The 12,481-nt window shown below is 40.9% G+C and overlaps 1 annotated feature.

The window, feature by feature from the left end:
* Positions 636 to 3,834: an enhancer, noted in NCBI's record as "VISTA enhancer hs1538". NCBI's record gives its function as "enhancer in: forebrain[4/4]" and the evidence as "EXISTENCE:transgenic organism evidence [ECO:0001131][PMID:17130149]".

The raw sequence follows: 12,481 nt of genomic DNA on the forward strand, positions 1-12,481 counted from the left end.
GGCCTACAAAACATATGGGTACCCTCAGTGCAAGAATTTTTCTGCACTGAGCTCTAAAGAAAAAAAGAAGAAAGGCAAAGGATGCAGAGAATAAAAAGCCATTTGATGTGAGGTGAAGAGGGAGGATTAGGGGGAGGGGAGGGGAGTAAAAGCTGTTTAAGGGAAGCAAAGGAAGGAGGAAGGGAAACAGGCTCCTGTGTGACTTAATTTAAGGCTCAAACTCCTAGTGTTTCCCATTTTTTTTCTATTCTCACTATGCTGTAAAGAATATCCTTGTGCATATAGCTTTGTGTACTTTGGAAAATTACTGGAGGGAATGGAAATATAAGAGCCTTCCTTACTACTTTCTGTAATTCTTTAATGTTAGAATTTCATATAATCAAAATGTACTGTTTTTACAGTCAGAAAAAAAAAACAGTTCAGAGAAATTAAGTTTAAAAAAAGCTTCAGAGCCGTGACTATCCTCAAAGAGAAGAAAGTAGGAATATCAAATAAGTTTAGCAAGTTAAAGAAGTCGTGGCTATTAAAATTTTTAGTTTACTCAGAAATATTTACTTTAGCTTCCATGAATGGTTTACTTTTTTAAAGCATATCTACTTTTCAGAAAACTTTGTAATTTCCTTCAGTTCTTTGCTTGCTGCCTCAAACAAGAATGAAACCATTTTTCTCAAACTGGTAGAAAAACCTTATTTCAATTATTTTTTCTAGTCCTATACTTCCAGAGGATGGGAAACTGTTCTTAAAAGTGCAATGGACTGACAGAAAGCAGATCCGCGGTTGCCTCCAGGGCTGGGGGAGGGGATTGACTGCAAAGGGGCGCACGGGAATTTACTGGGGTGACAGAAAGATTCCACATCACAATTAAGGTGGTGGTTACATGATTGTATACATTTGCCAAAATTTACTACATTTACAATTAAAATGAGTGGATTGTATTATACATTGCTCAATAAAACTATTTTTAAATAGCTTTAGTAATAAGTGAACTAGTGCTTTTTTTTTGGTGATCATTTGCAAGAATACTCCAAATTCAATAAGAACCAGGATTCTCTTTTCAAAAGTCCAAAAACTAGTAACAAGTGCTGTGTTAGATTTGAAGAGCTGGAAGGACTTTACATACTTAAATTCCATTTTAATCTAGTTGAAACTCCCATAGAAAGAAGAAAAAAATACATTTTTAAAGTACAGATTTTTATTCAATAATTCTTTAGTTCTTTTCTCTTTTAACTTCCCTGGGGGGAGCAGGGAACTCTCATTCTGGTACCGATATTTGGATTAAAACAAATATCCACCCATTCATTAAAAGTTTCTCTCATATAAAGGAATTCATTTTTTTTCTTGATTGGTGCTAGACTCACAGACAGACAGAAATAAGCTGCCATTCTTCCATTTGATAGCCAGACGCTGCCAGTTGTAGCCAGGGTAGTCATGCTGTTAAATTAGGTCTAATGAAGGAGTAATTGCTTTAGATATAGTGAACCATTTCAAAGAAAACAAGGATTCTAATTGATTTGCAATTTGTTTGGCACATTGCATTGTCTGCGGCTATTGATTAGTCTTCTGGATTTCACACTGCATGTGTTTCCCTTTATTAAGGGAATAACAGGTTACTGATTACTTTCTTTCTGGGTTTAATGTAGCGGTTAATGTCTACTTTGTTCTTGTGTCATGTCACAGGCGAGGAAGGAATAATAGGCAAGTGGGTGGCCCTTTGCTAAGCAACTTCCCTGCTGCTCTGAGCTGTGTGCTCTGAGACAGGCTGAAAAGCAGATCAAGAGAAAGGGTTAGAATAGCAGGACTCACAAGTTAAGGCCTGAGTCAGGCTAGACCCAGCTCAAAACTTGGCTTTCCCCTCCCAGTCAAAGCATAGCATGGGACAAAGCAGCTGGTGGTAGATTTGTTCTTGTATCATTCGATTATTTGTAGACAGGATATGAATCTATGCCCATTGTTTTGCTTAATAGGTATGCATGCTAAATGGATGCAGAAAAAGAATATTTGAGGGTGAGGTCTTTTGGTTCATTTAACCCTTTGGAAAGTGACATTTTGTTGGCACCTGGGAAGCACTTGTTGCTGAGGTGTCGATATGATCATCAAAATGGCTCTTATGTTTATACCAACTGCAGGGGAGGGAGAAAAAGTTCTCAGGGTTGCAGTCATTTCATTGCCCTCAAAGCACAGCAGGAATTATTAGCTTACCCTGGCGTGCCCCTTTGTTTTCCTAGGGCTTTGCTCCTCCAGCAGATACTCATTTAAGGCGAATCCACTGCTTTCTGAAATGTGTTTTGCAATGGTGCACAGAACAGGCACTCACTTAGCGGATCTAATCCTTTCATGGCTCAGCTTGTTAATGTAGCAAACTGCTGAAAATGGGAAATGGATTCTTTAATGAGAACAGTCCCTTCATGGCTTTATTCTCCCAGTCCAACCCCCAGGCATTCATTCAAGTCCCCCCACGCCCGACCTCCCACGCCAGGATCAGGCACCCCCACTTCCCACCCAGCAAGCAGCCCATTTTCCAGCACGAAGTCCCCCATCTCTAGGCCCCTTGCTTCCCCACGACCTTCCCAGAGCCCTTGGAAGCTCACAAATAACAAAGGGGTGTAGGCAGTAAAAGATTCCCTTTCTCTGCTTCAGTTACCTCCTTCCTAAGCCTGAGCCCGTCTTTTCCTGTGCTTCAAATCTGACATGGTTATAGAGTGGAGCCTTTTCCTGATAAATTGCAAAGTAGCTAACACCCAGGGATTACATCTAAATTTATCAAATAAACACACTTTTGATATAAACATACTACCCAAGGTATTATAGATTTAATATCTTTCTTTAACATAGCTTTTGTACTATACAGGTTGAATATCCTTGGGACTAGACATGTTTTGGATATTTTTGGATTTTGGACTATTTGCATATACATAATGAGGTCTCTTGGGATGAGACTCAGGTCTCAACATTAAATTTATTTACGTTTCATATACACCTTATAGACATAGCCTGAAGGTAATTTTAGACAATACGATACTAATTTTGTGCATAGAACAATGTTTGTGTTAAGTGCTATTAAGACTTTTTTTAAAGTGTTAAGACTTTTCCACTGTGGCGTCATGTGAGTACTCAAAAAGTTTTAAATTTTGGAGCATTTTGGGTTTTGGATTTTCAGATTAAGGATGCTCAACCTGAATTGGATTTTATAATGATGCTGATTGCCAAGGGTTTCAAAATGGAGCCAATCAGTGAAAGTTAACTTGGACTCTGGTCTTTATTATTTTTCTTTTACGATTTTTACTCCTGTGGGTCTTCCTGAAGCTTTGGTACTTCTCTAGAAATCCACTCCAAAGAAAAAAAATCAGGCCTGGCACAGTGGTTCACATCTGTAATTCCAGCACTTTGGGAGGCCAAGGTGAGAGGATCACCTGAGGTCAGGAGTTCAAAACCAGCCTGGCCAACATGGCAAAATCCCATCTCTACTAAAAATACAAAAATTAGCTGGGCGTAGTGGTGCACACCTGTAATCCGAGCTTACCCGAGAGGCTGAGGCAGGAGAATCACTTGAACCCGGGAGGTGAAGGTTGCATTGAGCCGACCGAGATCGCCCCACTGCACTCCAGCCTGGGCGACAGAGGGAGACTGTCTCAAAAAAAAAAAAAAAAAAAAGTACTCGAAGCAGGTAAAGTTTAGGTTAAGAAGATATTCAAGATTACTTGGAAGTCATGACAGGGCAGCCTGGAGTTTGAAGTGTACATTTAAAAGAGAAAATGAGGATAGTTATGCCCATTTTGCCTTAGAGATAGGAAAGTAAATTATGTGTACATGAGCCCAGGTCTTTCCCTCATCCAAGTTCTTAACTTTGTGTGTGTGTGCCATGGAATCCTTTGGCAATCTGGTGAAGCCTGTGGACCCCTTCTCAGAATAATATTTTTAAATGCATAAAACAAAATACCCAGAATTACAAGGAAAACCAATTGTATTGAAATAAACTTATTAAAATATTTTAAAAACAAATTTATATTCAGCAAGTTCTTTATTGTTTTTTGTTATTAATGAATTTATTGCTTTAAATAACAAGATCTATGGATGGGTGTAGCAATTCCCATAATTTTGAAGTAAGAATGAGTGAGTAATTAAATGTTAATATCTATAATAACTTTACGTGTTATTTTTAAAATCTGTGATTTCTCTTGGTGACATAGTCACAGGTACTGATAACAATTGTTTTTGTTGCCCATATCCATAATTGAAAAAAGTTATGAAAATAAATATAATTTTTTCCATCCAAATTTATGGGCCCCCTAAGTTCTGTCTACAAACCCACAGGATTCTGCCTCCTGCAGTACTAGCCTCTTTCATTGCTCCATTAGGTGACTGTCATCAGAGCTGTGGGGAGAAGAAACCCAAGAGAAATGGGCATTGGAGGTGCCCAATTGGTGATGCCCTAGACTTTATCCCATCCCACATTATGATTGTCCTGACTTTCATGGAGCAGAAATTTTCACCAAATCTTCCCAGGCATTTGTTCCTCCCATTGTCCCCCAATCTATAAAACTCATGTCTATGTAAACAAGCCCATGCACCATGACACATGAAGAGAGGAGAGGCTGACAAAAGCAAAACAGAACAAGCAATAAATTGTGCTTCTTTGCATTATAGGCACCTGATTACAAGACTCACAAGTTTACAAGAACACTTACAATTCAGTGAATAAAATCTTTGCAGAGATTAATAAAATGTGAAAGTGATATAGAGATTATCAAGAAGAACTTAGTTCACATTTAGGTAACGAGAGTTGCCAGATTTAGTAAATAAAAATACAAATATTGCATGGAACATACTTATACTAAAAAAAAATTTCTTGTTTATCTGAAATTCAGATTAACTGGCTGTTCTGTATTTTATCTGGAAATCCTAAATTGACATATTATATGTGGCAAGTAAATCCAAGCAGAGACTATAATTAAGTGACATGAGAGAATTTTTGTTTTACCAGTCAAATAATTTGAACTAAATTCAGAAGTAGCAAGTAAAAACTGTAAAAAGATGGTTTGTTTAAAAATTAAAGAGGACTTTGAGAATTGAAGGAATAAACAGAGGAGAGGGAGTTAAAGGGAGAGAAGGAGGAATAAGGTGAGTCAAAAAGCAGAATGAAGGATAGCTAGTAACAAGCATAGAAAGGTATCCTGACGAAAACCCAGGGAAACTTCTGGCAGCACCTTACTCACTAACTTTCTCTCTCATGACCACCACTCTGCCCAGACTCTTTTGAAATAGATGAAGCCAATGTTGCCTGGGTTTCTGCTTCATCCTGTCAGAGATAAAGGAACCAAGGAACCAAGGCTCAGAGAGATTAAGCAATTTGCCAGAAGTTGCCCAGCCGGGAAGTTGCAGAGCTGTGATTCAAATCCAGGGCTGACACACCATATCTTGCTGCCTCTGTAGCAATTAATGCCTGAGGATTTATTAACCCTACTCCTTCTATTGCCACCTCTCCTGTTTAATATAGAGGATGGAAACTGTCAGGACCTAATAGGTTTCTACCATATGTCAAAAACTCTGAAAGCCCTGTTCTCTGGGGGCCTTTCCATTGTCCAAGGGAGGGCAATTCAATTAATCAGCTGGAAAGCTCACTTCCTGGGAAGGAAGAGACAAGCTCAGTCTAGTTCCTTATTAACAACAACAACAACAAAGCAAAGCCACATCGTGCCAACATATCCCAGCTTTTCATTTACCTCTGGGTCTTGTGAACTTTAAAACTTAGAGTTTTAACGTTGAGGAGGGCAGGCTTAGATCTCAGTAGCTGGTGGTAGATCTGTGGGCGTCTCTTCCATGCCAGTGCTGCATCATAGAGCTATCTGGAACAACAGGTTCTAGAGGCCCCAAAATAAAGATCTCCTTATAGCAAGGGAAAGTGTTATTTTATTATTTCTTTTTATGCCCCAGAGCACAGGAGTAAAGGCACACTTCAGGTCTTCTCTTTGGAAGTCCAGACTTCCTATAAAACAACTAAGATGATGTGGGGTCATCTTAGGTGTTTTATAGGTGTTCACATCTTGGATGTGATGCCGGGTCAGCCCAGCCAGAGCCCTGCCATCTCCCACAGGGAGCATGCCTGTGTTTAAAGCTGCTCCAAGGAGAAGCTCCCCTGAGTGAAGTTCCAACCATCTGACCTTATCTAAACCCTGGATCCCATCATCCCATGTTGATATTCAGATATTTCCCCCCTTTGTAGAGGCATTTTCTCTTGCTTTATTACAAGTGGTATCAATAGGTTATTTATATTTTGAACCCTATTGAAAAGAGGATTATACCAGGGCATTTAATTTCAGTTAAGAAAATATAGAAGTTACTCCCACGTATGAAAAGCAGTGCTGTAAAATGAAAGAAAATAGTTCACTTCTCGCTGTCACAGCAGTCGCACTGGTAAGTACTCCTAAATTGCTCCACTTTGCTATTGTCTGAAGTCCTTGATAAGCATTCTGCATTTTAAAGCTTTATCTATTTCTCATCATTAAAAAGCTCATTAGTTAGTCAGCATACTGGCACTTTCTTTACAGTTCATAAATTCAGATTAGAACCTTGTGTCCTCTAAATGGTGCCACTCATTAAATCATCCAAAACACTAGTATGGAGATATTTAATGGTAAGATTTAAAATTAGATTTCTAGATTTAGAAGTCTCAATAAAATACCCCAACTGCCTAAAAGTTTTCAAAATGAGATGTAAAATCAACAGGATTTTGGTATGTGACAGAATTCTGAGCTTCTCCACGAGCTATTGCAAAGATGAAATGAGATCGCCTGTGATCAACACTTCGTGTGTTGTACTTGAATGAGGACATAGGGAGTTAATGCATCCAGGACTAAATTTCTAATGCCAAGGTTTTCTTTTCCTGATACAATGTAATAGTACTTCCTGTTTCCACGGTGGTCAAATTTTGTAGCGATGTCCCTTCCAATATGGCTTTATTGTGAAGTGAATGTGTCCTCATTTGAACCCAGGTTCTTTTTTAAAATTTTATTTATTTATTTTTATTTATTTATTTATTTATTTATTGAGACAGTCTCACTCTGTCACCCAGGCTGGAGTGCAGTGGTGCAAGCTCGGCTCACTGCAGCCTCCGCCTCCCAGGTTCAAGCGATTCTCCTGCCTCAGTATCCCAAGTAGCTGGGACTATAGGCGCGTACCACCATGCATGGCTAATTTTTATATTTTTAGTAGAGACAGGGTTTCACCATGTTGGCCAGGCTGGTCTCGAACTCCTGACCTCAGGTGAGCCACCCACCTCGGCCTCCCAAAGTGCTGGGATTACAAGTGTGAGCCACCACATCTGGCCTATTTCTTTTTTTTTTTATTGAAGTAAAATATACATATAAAACTTACCATCTTTACCATTTTTAAGTGTACAGTTCAGTGGTAATAAATACATTTATATTCTTTTCTTATTCATCTCCAGAATTCTTGAACACTATTTGGACAGTCTATATACCGGAAGCCCATCAGTCACAGAGCAACAAGCCATGGGCAGGTAGGAACCCAGTGACCTCATTGGCCCTGATTCACCCCAGGTAACCTCAAGATGCGGAGAACCTGCCTGAGGATATGGCATAGTGCTGGATATCTTGTTCTGACAGTAGTAATTGGGAGGAAGAGGGGAAAGTGGCAGACTGCCTTGGAAAAGTGATGTACATAGACAAAACATTATCTGTCGTTCTGGCTTAAACCAAGGAGCAAATGCAGCCTTATCAGTCTGTGTTTGAAGTGGAAGTTGAGAAAACTAAGCTCCCATAAAGATTGACATTGGATGAAAAAGAATCAAGAGAGCAAGCATTTCTGAGAGTCCCTAATACACACACACACACACACACACACACACACACACACGTACCTCCTTCATATTCTCCTTTTTTCCTTTTTTTTTTTCCTCTCATTTCGTTTTGAGACAGGGTCTTGCTCTGTCATGCAGGCTGAAGGGCAATGGCGCCATCACAGCACACTGCAGCCTTAACCCCCTGGGCTCAAAGCAATCCTCCTTCCTCAGCCTTCTGAATAGCTGGGACTACTGGCACACACAACAATGCCTGGCTCATTTTTGTATTTTTTTGTAGAGGCAGGGCCTCACTTTGTTGCCCAGGCTGGTCTAAACCCCCTGGCCTCAAGCTATTCTCCTGCCTCGGCCTTCCAAAATGCTGGGATTATAGATGTGAGCCACTGCGCCAGGCCTCTTCTTTCCATTTGCTATTTCACCCTGAGGTGGGTACTCTTGACCTACAGTCGATCCATAACACATTTATACTGCCATCTTTCCCTCAAGTGGCCTACCCAATTCCATTCCGTGTCCCCACGTAGTGAACTAGCTCCTGGTGCAGAGGGGTGAGATAATGAGGCTGAAGGAGGACGGCAGAGCAGCGTGGGGGCAGGGGCACAGGTGGGAGTGGTGCTGGGTGCATACCTAGGAAGCATGGTGTCCCCCAACAAACTGCTGTAGGCTGGGTACAAAGTTTCTTATGGTGGAGAACTTTAGGGATTATGCCTGTGTCCTGTGCTGAACTTGACAAGTAGGCGAGTTAAGTTATTTGAGGATGAATAAACTTGACTCTTATTATTGCGCTCACAAAAACTATCTAGAGTGGGGAGAGTGCTCCCTTCTTTGGCTACTTAGCCCCTTGTCCTTCCACGTCCTTCATGGTGACTTTTTGTTTTCTTTCCAAATGGAACCCTCTATTTTATTTTCTAATTTTTATTTTGTTACTTGACAAATACAAGTTGTATGTTTATGGTGTACAAGTTATAGTGACTTGGCAGTTTTTCTCCTCGGCCATCCCTGACCACAAGGTGGCATTTAGTGGATGGTTAATCATTTTTATCCACTGAAGCTTGTCTTTAAGAATCTTCTGTGACCCCCAAGACCTGGGGTTTCATGGCCCCTTGCTTTGGAAAAAACATACATGGTTCATTGTTTCCTAAATACTATCCTCTCCCTCTCCGCTGCCACTCCCCCAGCTTCCATGCCCATATACCCTAAACTTCCCCACCTCCTCCACCCCCAATACTGTGAACATGAAGCCCAAAGAGACCGGTATGAGATTACAAGTTGGGAATCCTAGGTTCTCTTCCCAACTCTTCCAAGCGTCTGGGAACCCAAAGTATTTTCTAAACCGCTGTCTTGGCATTTCTGTCTGTAAATTTAAAAAATAATAATAATGACTTGGAATATTGGTAAGATGTCACCAGTGAAGAAATGCTGCTAGTTCTTGGAGAATGAAAAAGGCTGTCTGCATGCTATAAGCCACTGTAGCTCTTCTACATAAGCCACAGTTGTTCTTATGTGAGATAATGAAAATCCTCTGGTAAGGTACCTTCAAACTGGAATACATGTTTCCTTAGACATGCTGCCTTGCTTTAGCGCCATCATTCTAATACCTTGCTTCACCACTGGAGGGGTGTAGCTTCTCCCAAACTTTCTTCCCACATCTTGGTCAGCCTCTTGAGCTGCGACACACACCTCGAGAGTTTAGCAAAGCATTTTGAAGCTTTGGTTCCATCCTTCCCAAAAGTTCTCTTGGTTCACTGTTTTTCAGGAACCTTAGCTTATATGGATAGCTCGCTTTATGCAACAGATGTGTTATTGGGAGTGGACAATACATTTTGTGTGTGTGTATGGAATTCTGTGTTACACACATAAGAGAAGCTCACTTTATCAACAACCTATTTATTTTATTTTATTTTATTTTATTTTATTTTATTTTATTTTATTTTATTTTATTTTATTTTATTTTATTTTATTTTATTTTATTTTTTGAGGCAGGGTCTCACTCTATCACCGAGGCTGGTCTCGAGCTCAAGCTCAAGTGATCCTCCTGTCTCAGCCTCCTGAGTAGCTGGGATTACAGGTGTGAGCCACCACACCCAGCTTCAACAATCTATGTGGTAAATTATTTTATAAATCAAAGATCCAATACATTTCTATTTTGAAGAGTAGGTTTTCTTAAAACAAGGTACACCTCCATACCCCATGTCTTTTTGCCATTTAACAAGGACCATCTTAGACTGTGTGGTCTCGCCTTATTGAAGCTCAGTAGTGACGAGCTCTCAGGATGCCTGACTCCAGCCTGCCTACCTCTTCTGGGCAGATCCTACTCATTCCAGTTTCCTCCCACTTAAACAAACAGAATGTGTTGCTGTGTTTTCTCACCACAAGGCTGGCTCCAGCCTCTTCCACAGCTCACTTCCCTGACCTCTCCTCCTAAACTGGGCCCTCCTGAGTCTCTGCAGCCTGCAGCAGGTCCCAAGGTCCAGATTCTCTGGGCCTTGCTGAGAAACATCTGTCAAAGCCGTGTTGAGCCCTGAAAATCAGCTCACACCTGGACAAGGTGGCAGCACTTCTCAGGAATGCAGCTGTACCTCTCTGTCGCTACATTTTAGTAGTTAGGACTGTAGTGGGCAGAGTTCCTTATGTTGTTCAGGGTTTCCGTGGGCAGCAGCCTGTATCATTCATTGTCACAGTAAGTAAGCCAGAGTGCTGCAGCCCAACACTGTAATAAAGCACAGAACACATGATGATAGCTCTTAGCCAGGCCAAGCCTGCACTCTGAAAAGTGCCACTTCCAACAAGAGGGTGAGAAGGCCCTCCAAACTCAGGAGCCTGGGAGCGGTAGGACAAAGCACGACCTGCACTGGCTCCGTCTTCAGTTGGGGGACCTGGCACAGGAAGGCCAGTGTTATTGTCTATGGCAACCATTGAAATCCATTGTCCCACCCCCTCCCCACCACTTCCAAGTAATTCAATCCCTGACATTAAACGTGCACTGACTCTCTAGGGTAGAAAAGCACAAACTTACTCTATGTATATTTTTATTGGTTTATGTGACAGGCCGAATAATGGCCCTCCAAAAACGTCCGTGTCCTAATCCCTGGAACCCGTTACATTACATTACATGAGAAAAGAGACTTTGCAGACGTGATTAAATTAAGGACCTTGAGAGGAGGGGGAGGATCTTGGACTACCCAGGTGGGCCCAATGTAATCACATAGGTCCTTAAAATTGGAGAATTTTCCCAGCTGTGGTCAGAGGGAGGCTTGGCTGCAGAATAGTGAGAGAGACGCAATGTTACTGGCTTTGAAGATGCAATGGTGTTTGGCTCCTTTGAGCCAAGGAGTGAGGAAACTGTAAGGAAACAGATTCAGCCCAAGAGCGTTAAGAAGGAACATAGCCCTGGCACCATCTGGATTTCAGCCTAGTGAGACCCATTTTGGCCTTCTGACCTCCAGAACTGTAAGCTCATAAATGTGTATTGTTTATGCCATTAAATCTGTAGTAATTTTTACGATAGGAAACTAATATAGTTTGGAATTACAATTCGTTAAATTTTTTGCCACAATTTATCTTACTTGAATGCTGTAAGTGCCTTAAACACGTTTCTGTCTCCCAGAGGATTTCTGGAAACAAATGATTCCTTTGCCTTTAATTTTTTCCTTCGGCATGTAGGCTGAGGCCTTCCTTATTCTATCCATTCAAAGGCTCTAGCAGTATTATCTCAGCATACAACCCTGACGAGAACAAGCCACACAGGATGCTACATTTTCTCAGTAAGGGCGGGTGGGGGGCGTTGTGCGGGGGCAGTGAATGCATTAACCAAAGACACACTCCAGGGAAGAAGAATGAAAGGAAGATGTTTTGACCAGCTTGACTGTGGCACTTCATCCCTGGAGTTGTTCCCTAGAGTCTAAATTGCCGCTGACTGGGCAGTTTTCCTTCTAAAAGCTTCAGGATGGCTGAGTGTGCCGGCCTGGAGGAAGGCCCTAGGGAAGAAGACAATAGCTGTGAGAGAATCACAGATCTCACCCCTACCACTCCCCTCCCCAACAATGAAAAGTTCAGAAAACAACCAAATGCGTGCCTCACAAAAATGCCTAGTCAAGCAGTTGTTTCACTTCTGCCTGTTGAACATTTGGGTCGCCCGATGCAAATGTTAAAGCTGTGTTCAAACCAGAAAAAATAAAAATAATAAGCTGTCAGAATAATTACTAAGAACATGCAAGGATTCTACAAAGTAAACTGCAGCCTGCAAAAAAGAGAATTGCATGTTAGCTAATTGTTAATTTTAGCGATCGCAGTGGCTAATTACCGTGGCACACATTGACTATTAGCTTGACGCCCTAGCACCTGCTTTCTCCAATGAACAGATTTCTTCATCGCTAGCACAGGAGCAAAATGTGTAATTATTGGCCATCATTGGGGCGATTTTTCAGTGATTCTTTTGTGCATCGTGAATAAAGCATAATGACATATTTTATTAGAGGGCAAATAGCTGTTTGTTAATGGAAATGATTTGAAATCCAAAAAACTAGAAGCTAGGAGCATGTTTTCGGTATCAGCGTGAATTCAAATGTATTTTCTTTTAACTCTTTATAAAAGGAGCATAGAAATCAAATCTAAACTGAGCATAATATATTTAATGATATGTACAAACACAGCATTGATTAATTACCT

This window comes from Homo sapiens, chromosome 14 (assembly GCF_000001405.40).
Source record: "Homo sapiens chromosome 14, GRCh38.p14 Primary Assembly".
In the NCBI taxonomy this organism is placed as follows: domain Eukaryota; kingdom Metazoa; phylum Chordata; class Mammalia; order Primates; family Hominidae; genus Homo; species Homo sapiens.